The sequence below is a fragment of the Homo sapiens genome, chromosome 5 (assembly GCF_000001405.40).
Source record: "Homo sapiens chromosome 5, GRCh38.p14 Primary Assembly".
NCBI classification, from domain to species: Eukaryota; Metazoa; Chordata; class Mammalia; order Primates; family Hominidae; genus Homo; species Homo sapiens.
This window is the reverse complement of record NC_000005.10, coordinates 56,621,209-56,641,530: the sequence shown is the minus strand read 5'-3', so window position 1 is coordinate 56,641,530 and position 20,322 is coordinate 56,621,209. Positions and strand designations below refer to the sequence as shown.

The 20,322-nt window shown below is 39.7% G+C and overlaps 2 annotated features.

Annotated features, from left to right (window-relative positions):
* Positions 3,677 to 4,246: an enhancer, noted in NCBI's record as "OCT4-NANOG hESC enhancer chr5:55933112-55933681 (GRCh37/hg19 assembly coordinates)". NCBI's record gives its function as "activates a minimal SCP1, AML or CMV promoter by ChIP-STARR-seq in primed H9 embryonic stem cells {active_cell/tissue: H9 hESC(primed)}" and the evidence as "EXISTENCE:reporter gene assay evidence [ECO:0000049][PMID:30033119]".
* Positions 3,775 to 4,069: an enhancer, noted in NCBI's record as "tiled region #1284; HepG2 Activating DNase unmatched - State 1:Tss". NCBI's record gives its function as "activates a minimal TATA promoter and a strong SV40 promoter by Sharpr-MPRA in HepG2 cells {active_cell/tissue: HepG2}" and the evidence as "EXISTENCE:reporter gene assay evidence [ECO:0000049][PMID:27701403]".

Here is a 20,322-nt window from a genome sequence, read left to right as displayed (position 1 = left end):
AATATAATTGTTTTTTTTTTCTTGGTGATATAGAGTCTAAAATGGTTGTCATGACTGATAGGTCTCTATCCTCCAAGCAGTGATCTGGGAACCTGATCCTTTTGTCTTGTGGCTCTACCATCTTCAACATTTGGCTTCTGAAGTCACCCTGAATGTGCGCACACAAGGATGGAAAACAGCACAGAGAAAGGCAGAAGGTCGGTATGTGCCTGGTCTGGAAGTGACCCATATCATTCTGTTCACATTACTTTGGCTAGAACTCAGTCAGGTGACCACACCTAACTACAAGGGAGTCTGAGAATTGTAGTTGGCTGCATGTCCAGGAAGAAGAAATGGGATTGTGATCTGACCAGACTGCCTGGCTTAACCACTTTCTCCAGCATTGGCTTCTGTGGTTCCTCCTCCTTTCATTGGATGCTTTTACTGATCCTCTTATGTCCTCCCAGTAGCAAGTACAGCAGAATCTCCTTAGAGAGACTTTGGTCTTCCTTTGTCACCTCTTCTTCTCCAGACTCATTTTCTGTGGGAGCCCCTTGGCAGCCAGCCTGCTCCTAGCCCTGAGTGGTGCTTCTACAGGGTTCTGCTTCCCCTTTTCAAGCTTCTCTGTTTCGTTTACCTCATACATTGCAGGAGAACTACAAGCTCCCTGTCCTCTCACTTCAGCCTCCTCAGTGCCCACCTCCCCTCTTTCCTTGTGTGCCCACACCTTGTCTTCTAAACTAGAAGCTCTGGGCTTTTATTTAGGTAATACCATTTGCATAACCCTTTTGAGTTGACAGAGAAATTTCTCAGAAATTATACTAATCCCATATACAATCTGAAAGACAGACATCATCCATGCCAATCCACCCATCAGAAAACAGATCTGGGGAGAAAAGTGACTTTCCCAAGGCTATGCTGTATACACAGGGTGAAGACTTAAGCTCAAAGCCTATTACTGCTTTGAATTTCTTAGGGTCTTAGGGCTTTTAATTTAATTCACCTAAACCACCTGTTGCAAGGACTTACTCTTGCTGCCTCTATTTTTCTACTGTTCCAGCCTCTTGCCTCTTCTGCTGTCTGTGGTCAAAAACATAGAGCACCTTCATGCCTTGACTTTATATCTGTATTAGTCTGTTTTCACACTGCTATAAAGAAATACCTGAGACTGGGTAATTTATAAAGGAAGGCAGTTTAATTGACTCACAGGTCTGCATGGCTGGGAGGCCTCAGGAACTTACAATCATGGTGGAAGGAGAAGGGGAAGCAAGGCCAGTCTTACATGGCAGCAGGAGAGAGAGAGAGAGAGAGCGCGCACACAGGGGAAACTGCCACTTTTAAACCATCAGATCTCATTAAGAACTCCCTCTGTATCACGAGAACAGCATGCGGGAAACCGCCCCATGACCCAATCACCTCCTACCAGATCCTTCCTTGACATATGAGGATTACAATTTGAGATGAGATTTGGATGGGAACACAGAGCCAAACCATGTCAATGTCTTTAAACTCAAGACTGCAGACTGGAGTGGAATGCCCCTGGAAAGAGTATATGCTGTATGGCTGAGATTCTGAAATGATAAGATTTGTAGACTGGGGAAAATTCTTTAAAATGTTATTTTAATATAGAAGAAGTAGTGTGTGGAGGATGTAGGACTGTGTACAGAATGTAGGACTATAGACATCAAATGAATGACTGACTGAATAAACAAATAGCCCACTACTTGGCTGACAGTTTTTTACTCCCAGCTACATAAAATTTTGTGTTCGGAGTTGTGAGCCACACACAGAATGAATGAGAGTCCCTGCTCTCAAGGAGGCTTAGAGAAGCACGAGAGATAAGACTAAGCCCAGATACTGATAATAAAACAGGGAAATGATAGTGCCAGGGAAGCACAAAGTTCCCCTGTTACTTCAGATGGACTAACAAGAATATACCCAGCTGGAGAGGCTGAAGGTTGAGCTCACCAAGGAAGTGAAAATTTTGAACTTGTCTTTGCATGTATTCATATAGTTATTAACTTGACAACTGATTTAAGCACATACTAAAGACCCTCTTTTAGAGAGGTATCACAGAACACAGCATGTGCAGTTTTTGTCTTTAGGAACTTACTGTCTAGCAAGGGAGAGAGCCACCCCACTGATGACTGCACAAATCATTACTTAATGACAGGAGGGGTAAGTGTTATGAAGGAAAAGCACAAAGGATGTGAGAGTGTATAATAGGGAGACACTATGGAGTCTGCACCAGAGGGATTAGATTTGAATATACTGAGAGAGAGTGGGTAGCAGGGAGACCTTCTAGGTGGAAGGAAGGAGGAATAGAGCTGCACAGTAAAGCAGTCTAAGCTGGGCTGGAAGGGAAGACAGGAAAGGTAGACTAGTACCAGCCCTAGGAGGGCCTCTTCAGACGTCAAGACTCTAAAATTGATTTGTTAGGGAATGGAAAACCACAAAGGTTGAGGTAATCAAGAAGAACACTTGTGACCCAGTTGAGAACAAGGCCACGTGAGAATTACGTAGCTCTTGTTTTTGTACATAAAACCATGCTGGTCCCTGTGAGAGGCAAGACAAGACAAGATCAGCAGGAGAAGGGTTGGACGCATGGTACCTTTCCATGGAAATCCTGTCTGGGGTTCATGACCCAGAGTCTTGGTCTGTTTGCTTGTCTCACAGTGCACAAGAGGCAAGAGCTTAGAAAGCAGATCAGGGAAGAGTGGGGAGGAAGGTATTTGTGCATCCCTGTGGGGGAAAGGTGGGCACTTCCCAGCACAGCCCGGGACAGTGCGAGGAATGGCACAGAGGAACACTCTGCTTTTTGGTTCACAGTATGGCCAGGACAGAAATGAGACCTTTCTCTACATCCTGAGGTTTTATTTTCTTTGTCTTTCTCAGGTGGAGCAGTTAGGTCAGGCCAAGCCTGGCCCTGTTCTGATACAGCTCACCTAGCAGATTTGAAGTTAGACTATTTACAACAAGAAGAAGGCATGCCCTGCCATGGCAAAACCTCACCAGGTCTCCCTGTATGATTCTTGAATGTCTTCTTTAGCAAGGTTACACCTGGCACACAGACCCTATCAGCCACTGACTGCATTCCTTACAAACCCAAACCCATTGGTGGGCAGAGCGGGAAGGTGGCTGGCCACCATCCAGACAGTAAACAATAGAGGCAATTATTATGCAGCCATTAATCTTGTCAATTACACATTAACCCAGGCTGTGTGTAAACAGGAGCACAATCCTCATTCTTTTTCTCTGCCTTTCTCAATGGCTTCCCACCCCACCTCCTCAGAAAATAAAAAGGGACTGCATTCTACCACATTCTCAATATCATCCTTAATTCCACTTTTTCACTTATGGAAACAATCATACCAATCTGGAAATTCCTTTAACCTGTGTATCGATTTTATCTTTTTGTGTGTGTGTGTGATTTCTATTACATATGATACTCTGCTGAGTGCTTGGGAAGCTGATTTTGCTGTTTTCTACAAATCTATGGTTCCTTTTTCACTTTGAACTCCCCAGTTGAAAAGGCTATATTCATATATATTACCTCATGAGGTAATATAATGATTGATAGCACAAATTTATTACATGTTTTGAAGTCGCTTTCTAATATACCTGGATAAGGATCTATTTCCTATTCATCTTCATCTGGGTAGATGCCACCCAAAGACATCCTTGTCCACTTAAAAACCTGTAGCAGTTGGCTTTGTGGTCAAAGGAGATTTTTGTTTTTTAAAGTGAGGAGCAGTTCTGGAAGCAATTAGATCTGGCATTGTTCAGGGCAGATGGTGAAGTGGGCAGAGATTCTCTTCAAAGCCTCTAGCCTTTCATTTTCCTGTGCTCACTCTTCCTTTAGTACACTTGACCTCTCCTTTCCCTCCTCCTCCTCCAAAGCCATCTCTAAGAAATGGCCCACGTCAGTCATTTATCTCTTCCTGGGCATTAAAGAGTCTGGGGAATGCTCATTCCTGCTGTGTTTTCACTGAAAGCCTTATCTTTAATTGTGGAATGAAAGGAATTTCAGGTATTGGATCACAGCTCAAAGTTCAAGTTTTTAACGTTCTATTCACATAGCAGTCAGGAAAAAAAAATCCTTTTTGATTGGAAGGAGGGCAGTTTTCACAGGCCCTCTTCTCAGGCTCTGGTGGTGATCCGTCTCTGTTCTCTCCTCTTTGTGGAGCCATTCTGGAAGACAAGGCTTGAGGTTGGGGTGGGCAGGACAAGTAGCACAGAGATTTCTCAAACGTTGCTGGATAAGGTGTTTGAGACCGATTTCAGTAGAACCCTAATACACATTAGGTAAGATTTCTGAATCAGGAATGTGAGAAAGGTCTGTTGAAACTGGGCATCAATACCCTTTTTCCTTGGGATATGTCAGGGAATTCCCCAAGAGGCTTCAATGTTCAGGGCAGCCCTGCTACCCTATTTTTTGGGTGGTGGGGTGGGAACTTGGAAAGAGGTCTTGCTGGCTGAAATTAAATTAGCATGTTGTTTCGAGGGAGTTGGGAACATTTTCAAGTTGCTGTGCATAAACCTGCGAGCTCATTTTCTCAGATTTGGTTCATGCATATAGGGTGGTACTATGTATTCACTAGAAAGGGTTCAGACTTGTTGCATCTTGGTTCTGTCTCTAGATCTAGGATAATGCATTTATTCCAAAACTTAATTTTGGTAAAACGAAAGAATCAACTAGGCAATCACTGAGGTTCCTTCTAGCTTCAAAAATCCCGATGATCTCTGAGATCTATGAATTAAAATTAATTGGTGCAACTTGTGGGATGTTATTTAAGTGAAAATTCTTAGAGTCAGGGCACTAGTGAAAGGTAAGAGCCAGGAATGCAGGGGATACTGGTCATTTTCCATAGCTTCTTTCCTCCCAAATTGTAGCAATTCTGGGGTTGTGGGAAGAAGTAGAGATATGAGTGGCAAATCAATACAAACTGTGTCACCAATAAGGTTGTTCAGGGAAATAAGTTTATAAAGAGTGGAAAGGAACAGGCTGAGCCTGACAGGGTTAAAGGAAGCACCAATTTCTACCAATGACAGTGGGTTTTGTTTGTTTTTTACAAAAGGCATGTTTCTCATTTGAGGAAATGATTACATTGAGCCATGGAAAAGTTCCTGGGAGGAAAAAAAAAAAACAAAAAACAAATTGAAAGTCAGCAGCCATCAGACGATCAGAGTGTTTATTTCACAAATGATCAGCTATTTAAAAAGTACTCTCGGCCGGGCGCGGTGGCTCACGCCTGTAATCCCAGCACTTTGGGAGGCCGAGGCGGGCGGATCACGAGGTCAGGAGATCGAGACCATCCTGGCTAACACGGTGAAACCCCGTCTCTACTAAAAATACAAAAAATTAGCCGGGCGTGGTAGCGGGCGCCTGTAGTCCCAGCTACTCGGGAGGCTGAGGCAGGAGAATGGCGTGAACCCGGGAGGCGGAGCTTGCAGTGAGCCGAGATCGCGCCACTGCACTCCAGCCTGGGCGACAGAGCGAGACTCCGTCTCAAAAAAAAAAAAAAAACAAAAAACAAAAAAAACAAAAAACAAAATAAAAAGTACTCTCAGCCACCAGACCTTCAGGTTAAAGGTGTCCAGTAAGCATCGTACCTCATAAATCAATGGAAAGACAATAGAAAGAAATGTAGAGGAAGCTGATGATTTCAGAGTTTATTAGGATTTCTATTTTGGCAGAGTGTTTCTGTCTTTGATGCCACTGTGGGTACTTTCTTCAGTAACACATTTGATTAGAGTAGGGTGTTAGCAGGGCCAGGGTCCGGGGGTGATTCCCATGGGCCTGTCATCTCTAATTCAGTAATAATTGAGCAAATCCCTTTTGTCCTTAATACTTTGCCAAGAAAGACAGGACAAAAGAAAGGCAAGATACATTCACAGCCTTGGAAGAATTTAGAATTTAGCAGAGAATGCAAAAACACACAATGAGTAACAAACTTGGAAAACTTTTAACCTTACAGCCAGACTGTGTCATCTGGCCAGGTGTCAGGGCTCACACCTGTAATCCCAGCTGTTTGGGAGAATTGCTTGAGCCCAGGGGTTTAAGCCTGCAGTAAGCTATGATTGTGCCACTGCATTTCAGCCTGGGTAACAAAGCAGAACCCTGTTTCAAAAAAAAAAAAAAAAAAGTGTTATCAGCCCTGATGAGCCATTTCCAGAATGGGGGTCTCGAGAGAGACCAAATAAAGTTGGATAAAGGTATTTCTCACAGAATTAACTCACCATCACTCTAGAGCTTGTGTGTTTCTCTGTTTTAGGGTACTTATTCCATACACAAAGATTCGTGTATTTTCTAGTTAGAATGTTGATAGCTATTTCTTTCCTTAGTAATAAAAACAAGGATTTGGTGATAAAAGGACTATGGTTTTAGAGTTTAAGTTCCTCCAACTTCTTCTAATATGCACAAAGTAAAGATGAGGAAAGTTGTCTATGATAAATAGGTGGTAAAAATCTGTTAATAGGCTAATATTTTTTGAAAATCTAGTCTATAAAAGGCCCTTTGCCAGTTCGCAAATTCCTTTTGTACTCCCTACTCACATAATCCTATGGGATTGATTAGCCATGTGTTTTGATCCTCTGAAGGGCTCTGCCTAATGGCTGAAGCATAAAGTTTTACTGCTCCTTCAAGCAAAAGCTGGTGTTAGAAGCCAAAAGATTGATAGGTACTTGCAGACCCTCTCATTCCACCCTTACCTGTGGACAGTCGTGTTCCTTTTGTAAGCCTGATAGAGGACAAACTTGTTGAATATGAAATGGCTAGCATTCTTGTGGTTAGCAGCTTTGGAAGGTTTAAATGTATTTGGGATTTCTCCTGCTGCTCCGTGCTTAGTCTTGAAAACTATTAAGATTAAAATTAAAAAAAATTGACTAAGTTGCATTTATTCCAAGAATTCTAGGTTGATTTTGTATGTTGCCATGTTACCAAAATGAAGGGGAATAAAAGCATGTGATCATAAGAATAAATGTGAAAATTTTTTTACAAAAAATATCTTCCATTCTTGATATACACTCTTTAGGAAACTGGGAACAGAAGGGAATTTCTTAACTGGATACACAACATGATACATAGCACAGAAACCTATGGCAAACATCATGCTTTGTGGTGAAATGTAGAGTGCCTTGGGTCAGGTTCCCCAGAAGCAGAGATTGAGGGAATGTTGAGGGACAGCTCTCAGGCAAAACCTGTGCCAAAGAGAAGGAAGCAGGTCAGGGCAGGGGAAAAGGCCAAAGATGTGAATTCAGATGAAGCCAGCTTCTGGTGATCCCATAGGGAACCTTACAACAGGAATGGTACCACAGAATTATCCCATCTTCAGGCAAAAGGGCAGGCCTTTTTGGTGCCTCACATCTGTTAGTCATTGGTTACTGGACACCCCGGGAACCATGCATAGCTTTCTACATACTCTGTTTCCAAGTGGCTGCCATTGGTCAAGGGCAGTTCTCAGGAGAAGAATATAGCTGTGAACTGATAGCAGCTCTTTACCTCTTCTGCAAGTGGGAGAAGAGTATTTCAGCCCATTGAAGGCAATGTGGTAGGCAACAACAGTGTCTGCTAATTGACACTTTATGTTAAAAATAATTTAATTGGCTGGGCGCGGTGGCTCACGCCTGTAATCCCAGCACTTTGGGAGGTGGAGGGCTAATCACGAGGTCAGGAGATCGAGACCATCCTGGCCAACATGGTGAAACCCCGTCTCAACTAAAAATACAAAAATTAGCTGGGCTTGGTGGTGCATGCCTATAATCCCAGCTACTGGGGAGGCTGAGGCAGGAGAATAGCTTGAACCAGAGAGTCAGAGGTTGCAGTGAGCTGAGATCTCACCACCGCACTCCAGCCTGGCAACAGAGCGAGACTCCATCTCAAAATAATAATAATAATAATTTAATTCAATTCACCTAGAGCTAGAAAAACCTTCATTCTGACCATTTCTGGAGATCTGTCTGGCTCCATATTCCAAGTTTTGATCAGTAACATCTTCCTTCTACCTGTAGAACTTCCTTTAACAATTTTTGTAGTGTAGGTCTGCTGATAATAAGTTATCTCAGTTTCTGTTTGTCTGAAAAAGTCTTGATTTCTCTTCAATTTTTAGGATTTTTTTCCACTGGGCATACATTCTGGGTTACTAGTATTTTTCTTTCAGCATTTTAAAGGGATCATTCTACTGTTTTCTGGCTTGCATGGTTTCAGATAAGACTCCTGCTGTCACTCTTAGCTTTGTTCCTTTGTATACAATGTTTTCTTTTTCAACTTTCCTCAAAATTTTCTCTTTATCTTTAGTTTTAAGCCACTCGACTATGATGGATCTAGATGGGTGTGGGAGTGTATGGGTTTCATTTTTCTCCTCCCTCCTCCTGCTCCTCCTTTTTCTTTACCTTGTTGTTTAATCTCTTTAGGCTTCTCTGAACTCCTTGGACCTGTGGATTAATATATTTCATTATTTTTTGGAAATTTTTCAGCTGTCATCTCTTCAAATATTTCTCCTACTCTACACATATATTAGACCCACAGCTCTTGTATGCTCTGTGTTTTTTTATTTTTTTGTCATTTGTCATTCATTCCTTTTTTTCCTTTGTGTTTCTGTTTGAGGAATTTCTGTTTATCTATTTTCAAGTTCATTGATTTTGTTCTTGGCTTGTTGAGTCTCTCGATCAGCTAGTTGAAGGCATTCTTTATCTCTGTTATGATGTGTGTCATTTTTAGCATTTTCAATTTTTTTCTATAGCACTTATTGCTCCACTAAAATTTCTCATCTATTTTTATGTACTACTTGCCTTTTCCACTACAGCATGTAAGATATTATATTAAGCAGTTATTTAAAATTCCCTCTATGATAGTTCTAACATCTGGGTTATCTCTGAGTCTGGCTCTGTTGCCTACTATGTCTTTTTTACAATTAGTTATTTTTCTTTGATTTTTGTGTGTCTTCTAATTTTTGATTGATTGCCTGATATCAATCAATCAAAGATAGAAAGGTAGAGACTGAGGTGAATAATTCCTTATGCCTAGAAATGGACACGTCCCTTCTGCTGGGCTATTAATCAGGAAGGAGGGGGTGATGTTGAATCAGTCTAATCAGGAGCTGAATTGTGTTTGGCTTTTGCTGTTGCCATGGTTGCCCTCAGTGTGTCATTGAGTTCAATTCATCTAATTTTACCTTGCCCTTGGGGTGGAGGTTGGATTACTGGAGGATTTTTTTCAATGCTTCTACTCCATCTTCAGCTTTAAGGCTGCTTTATGCCCTGTGCTTCAGAGACAGTTTCCGTTTATGTTCTTGACACTTATCCAGTCATAACTCCTGTTTCAACTAGATAGCCTGGTGGTGGGAGCAGAGGGTTTCTCTGTTGCCCTGGTTCAGAGTTTGTCTTAGAGAAGCTTTGTGTCTCTGTATCTTTTAAAAGGCTTTCTGCCTGGAAAATATATTCAAATATATTTTGATAAGTGAATCAACAAGTAGAGCCTTGGCACTAAAGCCAAAAGAGACTCCAGCATTAGCCCTGAGGTGAGATCAACACAAGGTTTTTTAGGTAGCCAGAGAGTTCTCCTCTTCATTTTTACTCTCGTATAAATGTAGGAAAACAGCCTGGGGCAATGCTGCACTACTCCAGGGGAGACCTTCACATAGAATATAATACAAACAGTATACCTGGAGTTGTGCAACCCAGCAGTCCTGGGTGAAGTCATATTCTAAACGACTGTTGGGACTTTGGGGAAGTTGATTGAACACTGTGGTGTATAAGGACATTTCTGGGTATTTGAAATACCTCTGAGCAGTTGACTTCCAATGTTCTTGGAGTGGAGGGACATGGTAGCTGATAGTGAGATGGGAAAAAAAAAAGTACTGGGCAACTTCATGTCTCTGCTGATGTCTGCTACCCTGTCAATCAATATGCCATACCTAGAGAAGAACCCTCTAGTCTCTTTTTCAATCAATTTCTTTATGACCCAGATTGAGGAAGGAAAATGTAGGGGGAAAATACCACTTCCATTTGCCTATTCATGGAATAGAAATGGAATTTCTATTCCATGAATAGGCCTATTCCATGAATTTGCCTATTCATGGAATAGAAATAGAAAAAAGTTTTACTCTTTTCAAAACTCTGCTGGGATGTGATTAATATTACATTTTTGAACAGGTGACTAGCTAGATCCCCTGGGTCCTTTTTCCTGCCTCTCCCTGTTCCTGGGGAAAGGCTTGATGATCTCCCTGCAGATGACCTCTGTGCTTGCCCACCTGCAATCCATTCTCTACACAGAAGCCAGAATGATGTTTAAGAAATATGATGAATTGATTGGTTGGTTAATTTTGTAGCAATTTTTATAAAGAATTATTCTAGTCATTACAATAAAGTCATTCAAAATGTAATGCAAAAATTCTAGTCATTACAACCACTGTAGAGATTTTATAATAGAAAAACATTAGAAGCAACATAAATGTTAAAAATATAGAGGCTTAGAAATATAATATTTTGTACCTATCAAAAGAACATTTATGAAGAAGTTTTAATGGCATGGGAAACTGCTCGTAGTATTAAAAAAGCAAGTTTTAAAAAGTATATGTATCTTCTCATCACCACATGGCACATACTCTCAAATCCACCACATAATTGGACATAAAACAATATTCAACAAATACAAAAGAACCCAAATCATACCAAACACACTCTCAGACCACAACACAATAAAAATAGAAGTCAAGACTACAAAAATTGAATTGCTCAAAACCATGCAATTACATGGAAATTAAATGACATGCTCCTGAATGACTTTTGGGTAAATAATGTAATTAAGGCAGAAATCAAGAAGTTTTTTGAAAATAATGGAAACGAAGATATAACATACCAGAATCTCTGAGACACAACTAAGGCCATGTTAAAAGGGAAATTCATAGCACTAATTGCCCACATAAAACATTAGAAAGATATCAGATTAACAACCTAACTTCACAACTGAAAGAATTAGAGAAGCAAGAACAAATCAATCCCAAAGTTAGCAGAATATGAGAAATAACACAAATCAGAGCTGCACTAAAGGAAGTCAAGTCATGAAAAATCATTCAAAAGACAAATACCATTTGACCCAGCAATCCCATTACTGGGTATATACCCAAAGGATTACAAATAATTTACTATCAAGACACATGCACATGTATGTTTATTGTGGCACTGTTCACAATAGCAAAGACTTGGAACCAACCCAAATGCCCATCAATAATAGACTGGATAAAGAAAATGTGACACATATGCACCATGGAATACTATGCAGCTATAAAAAATAAAATGCCCAAGAATACAGCTAACCAGCAAGGTGAAAGATCTCTACAATGAGAATTACAAAACAGTGCTCAAAGAAATCAGAGAAGACACAAACAAGTGGAAAAACATCTCATGCTCATGGATAGTGTATTAGTTTGTTTTCATGCTGCTGATAAAGACATATCCAAGACTGGGCAATTTACAAAAGGAAGAGGTTTAATTGGACTTATAGTTCCACATGGCTGAGGAAGCCTCACAATCATGGCGGAAGGCAAAGAGGGGCAAGTCCAATCTTACATGGATGGCAGCAGGCAAAGAGAGAAATGAGGAAGACGTGACAGCAGAAACCCCTGATAAAATAATCATATCTTGTGAGATATATTTACTTCCAGGAGAACAGTATGAAGGAAACTGCCCCCATGATTCAATTATCTCCCACCAGGTCCCTCCCAAAACATGTGGGAATTATGGGAGTTCAATTCAAGATGAGATTTGGGTGGGGACACGGAACCAAACCATATCATTCTGCCCCTGGCACCTGCCAAATCTCATGTCCTCACATTTCAAAACCAATCATGCCTTCCCAACAGTGACCCAAGGTCTTAACTCATTTGAGCATTAACTCAAAAGTCTACAGTCCAAAGTCTCATTTGAGACAAGGTAAGTCCCTTCCACCTATGAGCCTGTAAAACCAAAAGCAATCTAGTTACTTCCTAGATACAATGGGGGTACAGCCATTGGGTAAATGCAACCATTTCAAATGGGAGAAATTGGCCAAAACAAAGGGGGCTACAGGGCCCATGCAAGTCTGAAATCCAGTGGGACAGTCAAATCTTAAAGCTCCAAAATGATCTCTTTTGACTCCATGTCTCACAACCAGGTCACACTGATGCAAGAGGTGAGTTCCCATGGTCTTGGGCAGCTCCGCCCCTGTGGCTTTGCAGAGTACAGTCTTCCTTCCAGCTGCTTTCACTGGCTGGTGTTGAGTGTCTGCAGCTTTTCCAGGTTCACGGTGCAAGCTGTTGGTGGATCTACCATTTTGGGGTCTGGAGGATGGTGGCCCTCTTCTCACAGTTCCACTAGGCAGTGCCCCAGTACACTCTGTGTGGGGACTCTGACCCCACATCTCCCTTCCACACTGCCCTAGCAGAGGTTCTCCATAAGAGCCCAACCCCTGCAGCAAACCTCTGCCTGGGCATCCAGGCATTTCCATACATCTTCTGAAATCTAGGCAGAGGTTCCCAAACCTCAATTCTTGATTTCTGTGCACCCACAGCCTCAACATTATGTGGAAGCTGCCAAGGCTTGGAGCTTGCACAATCTGAAGACACGGCCCGAGCTCTATGTTGACCCCTTTCAGCTACGGCTGGAGCAGCTGGGATGCAGGGCACCAAGTCCCTAGGCGGCACACAGCAAGGGGTCCCTGGGCCTGGCCCACAAAACCACTTTTTCCTCCTAGGCCTCCAGGCCTGTGATGGGAGGGGCTGCTGTGAAGACCTCTGACATGCCCTGGAGACATTTTCCCCATTGTCTTGGGGATTAACATTTAGCTCCTTGTTACTTATGTAAACTTGTGTAGCCTGCTTGAATTTCTCCTCAGAAAATGGGATTTTCTTTTTTATTGCATTGTCAAGCTGCAAACTTTTCACTTTTATGCTCTGTTTCCCTTTTAAAGCTGAATGTTTTAAATAGCACCCAAGTCACCTCTTGAATGCTTTGCTGCTTAGAAATTTCTTCCTCCAGATACTCTAAAGCATCTCCCTAAAGTTCAAAGTTCCACAAATTTCTAGGACGGGGGCAAAATGCTGCCAGTTTCTTTGCTAAAACATAACAAGAGTCACCTTTGCTCAAGTTCCCAACAAGTTCCTCATTTCCATCTGAGACCACCTCAGCCTGGACCTTGTTGTCCATATTGCTATTAGCATTTTGGTCAAAGCCATTCAACAAGTCTCTGGGAAGTTCCAAACTTTCCCACATTTTCCTGTCTTCTGAGCCCTCCAAACTATTCTAACCTCTGCCTATTACCCAGTTCCAAAGTTGCTTCCATATTTTCGGTTATCTTCTCTGCAGTGCCACACTCTATTGGTACCAATTTACTGTATTAATTCGTTTTCATGCTGCTGATGAAGACATACCCTAGATTGGGCAATTTACAAAAGAAAGACGTTTAATTGGACTTACAGTTCCACATGGCTGGGGAAGCCTCAAAATCATGGCGGAAGGCAAGGAGGAGCAAGTCCCATCTTACATGGATGGCAGCAGGCAAAGAGAGAAATGAGGAAGACACAACAGCAGAAACCCCTGATAAAACCATCAGATTTTGTGAGACTTATTCACTACCAGGAGAACAGTATGAAGGAAATTGTCCCCATGACTCAATTATCTCCCACCTAGTCCCTCCCACAACATGTGGGAATTATGAGAGTTCAATTCAAGATGAGATTTGGGTTGGGACACAGAGCCAAACCATATCAGATAGTAAGAATCAATATCATTAAAATGGCTATATTGCCCAAAGCAATTTACAGATTCAATGCTATTCCTATCAAACTACCAATGATATTCTTCACAGAATGAAAAACTATTTAAAAATTAAAATGGAAGCAAAAAAGAACCTGAATAACCAAGGCAATCCTAGGCAAAAAGAACAAAGCTGGAGGCATCATGTTACCTGCCTTCAAACTATACTACAAGGCTACAGTAACCAAAACAGCATGGTACTAGTATAAAAACAGGAACATAGATCAATGGAACAGCATAGAGAGCCCAGAAATAAGGCTGCACAGCTATGACATATGATTTTTGCAAAGCTGACAAAAATAAGCAATGTGGAAAAGACTCCCTATTCAATAAATGGTGCTGGGATAACTAGCTAGCTGTATGCAGAAGGTTGAAACTGGATCCGTTCCTTATACCATACAACAAACAAACAAACAAAAAACTCAAGATGAATTAAAAACTTAAATATAAAAACCCTGGAAGACAGACAACCTACACAATACCATCCTGGACATATTAATAGGAATGGGCAAAGATTTCATGACAAAGACACCAAAAGCAATTTCAACAAAAGTGAACATTGGAAAATGGGATCTAATTAAATGTAAGAGCTTCTGCACGTATCAACAGAGTAAACAGACAACCTACAGTATAGAAGAAAGTATTTGCAAACTATGTATCTGACAAAGGTCTAATATCCAGCGTATTTAAGGAACTTAAACAAATTTACAAGAGAAAAACAACTCCATTAAAAAGTGGGCAAAGGACATGAACAGACAGTTCTCAAAAGAATGTAGCCAACAAGCATATAAAAAAAGCTCAGTATTACTGATCGTTAGAGAAATAAAAATCAAAACCACAGTGAGATACTATCTCATAATAGTCAGAAAGGCTATTATTACAAAGTCAAAAAATAACAGATGCTGGTAAGGTTGCAGAGAAAAACACACTGTTGGTGGGAATCTAAATTTTTTCAATTATTGTGGAAAGCAGTATGTTGATTCCTCAAAGAGCTAAAAGCAGAACTACCATTTGACCCAGCAATCACATTACTGGGTATATACCCAGAGGAATATAAGTCATTCTACCATAAAGACGCATGCATGTGAGTGTTCATTGCAGCACTATTCACAATAGCAAAGACATAAAATCAACCTAAATGACATCAATGGCAGAGTGGATAAAGAAAATTCCATACACCATGGAATACCATGCAGTCATAAAAAAGAATGAGATCGTGTCTTTGTGGGAAGATGAATGGAGCTGGAGTTTATTATCCTTAGCAAACTAACGCAGGAACAGAAAACCAAATACCACGTGTTCTCACTTATAAGTGGGATCTAAATGATAAGAACTTATGAACACAAAGAAGGAAACAAAAGACACTTGGTCTGTTGTTGATGGGGGAGGGTGGCAGAAGGGACAGGAGCAGAAAAAATAACTATTGGGTACTGGGTTTAATACCTGGGTGATGAAATAATATGTACAACAAATCCCTGTGACATGTGTTTACTTATGTAACAAACCCTCATATGTACCCCCAAAGCTAAAATAAAAGTTTTAAAAAGTGTACGTATGATTGTTTCTTAACTGTGTAAAAATATAAGGTTCATATAAGAAAAAGGCTGAATGAAACCTACCCAAAATATTAGCCATTAATTCTGGGTTGTGGGATTATGGGAGATTTTCCTTCAAAACGTGGGACAAATTCTTTATAATCTTCCTGATTTTCCACCTTTTCTTTAGTGAGGAAATACTACTTTTAAAACCAGAAAAAGTGAATAGGTAACAAAGTGAATGTAATATTTAGCAATTATGAAGGACTAGAACAAGTGGCATTTTTTCATTAGTGATTATCTTTATGTGAAAGCCCTGAATTTTTGTGTAAGTATTGAAAGAAACCACACTATTTTTGCTTCAAGTATTTTATGGATATCTTAGCCATGATTCATTGATTCTGGATTCTTGCTGTTATGCTCCAAGTACACTATTTACGTATATATGGAAGGAATGCAATGCTTTCTATGTTAATATTTCCCCCTCTCTTTTTTGATTAGAGGCCAAATCTGTGTGACTTAAGTAACGTATGTGGTTTGTTTGTTTGTTTTCAGTATTTTTGGTGTTAGGAAACTCTTCCAGATGAAATCCATTCAACTCTTTCTTGGATAAATGAGCAGAACAGTCAATCACCATTTTTGTTTAAGAAGTTTCCCAAATGGGAAATGTTTCTAATGAGTCCCAAAGAATGTTGCAGAAATTTATCTCAATTTTGGAGACATAGGTCACCAGTAGTTCTATAAATATTTTCCATCCTTAGGAAAAGATCTTGCAGCACTCGACACAATATCTGATCTAGAGGAGATCTTTAATAAATATTATTATTATTGATATGGCTAATTTTTTTATTAGTACTGCATCATTGTGTCTGTAGACCGTAATGATGTCCTGTAGTGGATGTGATTTGAGTAGACTGTTTGTTTCAAGAAACAGATCAAGAGTTCCTACATTACTTTTGTTTAATCACTGAAGTTCAAGGTTTTACTTTTGTTTTTCCAATATCTGTTTCACATATTGAACATAGATATTGAACATCATTTATTTGATTTGAGAATATTATAGAAGGAGAATGAGAGATGCATGTAGATGATTTCATGATGGACACATCAATGTTCAAGATTCCTCTGATCTTTTCTCCCTCATTATGGGACTGATCTCATATGCCACATTATTAATTCCCCCTTGTCCAACAAAATCTGGAGGATATCTACCTCAAAACCTTTTTTTCCCCTTTAGTAATATTGGCAGGCTGAGTTTTTCCACTGTCATGAGAAGTTCCTCGATCACATCTGGATCTTAATTCTTCTGGAACATACTATTAGAAAGACAGGAAAGAAATTCTTTGGGTAGAGTCATCCTTGTATTATAGATAACAGTTGACCCAAGTCAGACACATTTCATTCTAATGCATTTCCATGTAACTAAAGACAGTTTAAAATGATTTTCCCCCATTACCTGTGTGTGTGTGTGTGTGTGTGTGTGTGTGTGTGTGTGTGTGTGTGTGTATGTGTCTGTGTGTGTGTGTGTGTGTGTGTGTAGGAATTGGGTTATGTTGGCAAGTAGGTCAACTGCTGCTACAACTTTGAGTTTAAACAAATAAACAAAAAGACAGTACTTAACCACATGGGCAACTGATAGCAAATTGGGGCTCTAATTGGCACTTGTCAGCCACTATAGAGTGGGAGAATGTAGTATGCCCTAGCTGTGGCTGAATTGCAGAGCAGGTCAGTGGCTTAGCCTCCTGGTTCCACCTTCCCAGGGGAGGCCTCCCTGCTCCAGAGGAAAGGCTTCATGACCTTCCTGCAGATGACCTCTGTGCTTGCCATCCTACAATCCATTCTCTACACAGAAGCCCAAATGATGTTTAAGAAACATAATGAATTGATTGATTTTGTATCAAATTTTTATACAGAATTATTCTAGTCATTACAATAGAGGTATTTTTAAAAGAAATAGGCTGGGCACAGTGTCTCATGCCTGTAATCCCAGTACATTGGGAGGCTGAAGCGTGAGGATCACTTGAGGTCAGAGGTTCGAGACCAGCCTGACTAACATGGTGAAACCCCTGTTTCTACCAAAAATACAAAAAGTAGCCGGGCACGGTGGCCCGCACCTGTAGTCCCAGCTACTTGGGAGGCTGAGGTGGGAGAATTGCTTGAACCCAAGAGGCAGAGGTTGCAGTGAGCTGAGATTGCACCACTGTACTCTCCCTGTAGACAAGGGGAAATGGCACAGGGTGAAGACCAAAGGAAGGTCAGAGAACAGGTTATGGTGCTTTACAAGGGTCAGGGTAAAGCCTTTGTATGGTGTTTAAGTGTTATGGGACTTCCTGGTAGACATTTCCCCTTGTCTACCGTGCCCTGGCACAGCGGGCTTCTTTTGGCCTCTGGAAGTGGTTAAATTTGTTGCTGCATTAGTGCCTTGCCTCCACCTGCTCTCTGCCAGCAATATTCTTCCATTTCCCCACACATGTTGTCTCTTTCTTGTCAATCAGAATTCACCTCCTCAGAAATGCTTCTCTGATTGCCTAGTTCATTGATGATTATCATAACCCTCTATTTTCAATTCTCTGCATAATAGTTATCACTCTGTTATTTTTCTTATTTCTTTGTTCATTGTCAACCTCCCCCATCTGCCAATGCCTGAATAAAAGCTTCATGGGTACAGAGACTTTGTTCAGTCTTATGAATCTCTAATCCTTCTGTCTAGAACAGTGCTTGGTACATAGTAGGCCTTCAAAAATAATTGTTAAATGAACAAATAAATGTGAAATTGAAGCAACAACACTGACCATAAAACATTATTGTGAAGATTAAATGAGATAATGTCTACAAAGTGCTTAAAATGGAAAAGACACATAATATATTCAATAAACCATACTTATTATTAGTGTTGTCATTATTATTTTGTTATTTCCCTGGTGTTTACTCCCCAGTCTTTATAACTGGGAAGTTCTTTCTTTGATGTTAACCAATTCCTGTTGCAATTATCTAATTTTCCTTTTTGTGGGTCATACAAAGTTGTAATTCTTCTGACCTATTAGAAAGTAGCACGTTTAGCTTTTGATATTCTTTCTTCCAAGTCGAATAATTCTAATTCTGTTCATCTTTTCCTATAGTTATTATGCTTGAAGAAGTTTAAAAATACTTATGGTATCCTGATCTGAGTCCTGAGGCAGGGCTACTGAACTGAGCCATCAACACATACTAATTAGCAAATTCCTGCACAGCTCTAATTTGTCCAGACATAAAGGAAGCTACCCACACACTATTCACTTGAAAATGACAACTTTGCAATAATAGTTCTACCTACTCCTAATGAGCAGGGGAATCCTTGCACAGACATTCTCATATACACTTAAAAAAATAACATTGGTTGCTAAGGGGTTCTGGTCTGTTCAACTCTTGGTTCCTTAGATATTTTTAAATATCTCCCCTCACTACACCTTAGATTTCCCCATTCATAAAAATGACATGATCGTTAAAATTAGGATCTGTGAAATCATTTCATATCTGAAGTACCTACTATATTCCAACACGATTGGAGAAGTTATTTGTTCTGAGTTTTTCAACACAGACGGCATTTATTTTCTGGGGGTTTAATGTTTAATTTAGATCTTAAGAATTGAAAACACTATGATTGCTATACCTTTCTTTTGTTACTTTGGACAGGATTTTATTTAGGGTCTCTTGATTTTGATAGAGGACAGTTGCTATTTCATTAAAAAAGAAAAAATAATGTACAAATCTACTTAATGTATCAGAGAAGTTGATGGAATTTTTTAACAGTCTGAGAAACAATTACAGTTTACATATTATAGAACTGTATATTTGGAAGGGAATTCATCAGCCCTCTCTTTGGGTGCGGCCAAACTTACTCATGTCTGGCTACTTTCCTAAGTCTCTTCTCAAAATGGAATGTACATTTGGAGAAAAGAGACAAAAAAAGAGCATGTAAAAACATCACAAATGCCAAATTTGTACATTTATATATATGTTATATATTATATTTACACTTTTTTCTCAACGATGAAGTCAATTATCTTTTTTATTTTCACTCTTCATACAAGTTTTAAAACATTGTGAGATTGAGGCCAGTTTAAATCTGAAATACTATGGAATATTCATGACTGCAGCCTGACTAGCCATTTTGTTAAAGCAATTTAAATGACATTAGAAGTAGTAAAAACAACATTGATACTATGAAGAACTAAAATTAGTGAGATAAAAGATAGAATTGAGAAAAATCCAAAAATAACTGAGGAAAAGAACTGAATTGCGAGAGATTAGAAATGACATTATGGCTATGAAGAATAGTCGATGGAGATTTAATACACAGAAAATAGCAATTCATGGACAAGAAAAGAGAAAAAATAAAACATTCAATGATATAATATAAGAAAACTTTCCTAGAATGAAGGACAATCTGAATCTGCAGATTGAAAGGGATTATTGTAACCTGGGAAAACTTAATAAATAACAACCCATATCAAAGTATATTCTGGTGATGTTAAATAACATCAAAAAAGAAAAGGAAATGAAAAAAAGAAATTTCTGTAATCATCCAACAATAGAAACAGAAGCAGATCACTATTACTTTATTTCTACCCCTACCTCCATAAAAATCAGCCCACAAAAACAAAAACAGGCCAACAGTTTAGCCTGATCTCAAGCACTTCAGGATCATTTTCTGATGAAGACAATGGAATAACATCTAAAGAATGCAGAGGGGAAAGAGTGTCACTCAGCCAAGATGTCTTTCTCATGTAAGGGAAATACTAAAATATTCACAGGAATGGAATTATTCATGTACCCTTCCTGGAAAATTTTTTGAGAAACATAACTCAGCTAACCAGATTAAATGTAATAACAATGATGTAAAAAGAAAGAAAGAATCCTAACTTTATAAGTGAAATAAAAAGAACTGGAAATAACATCGAATTGATTTAGATTTTAAATTAAGGGCAATAATTTTAATTGAAAGTATAGAGAAATTTCTTCCTATACGGATACCTGA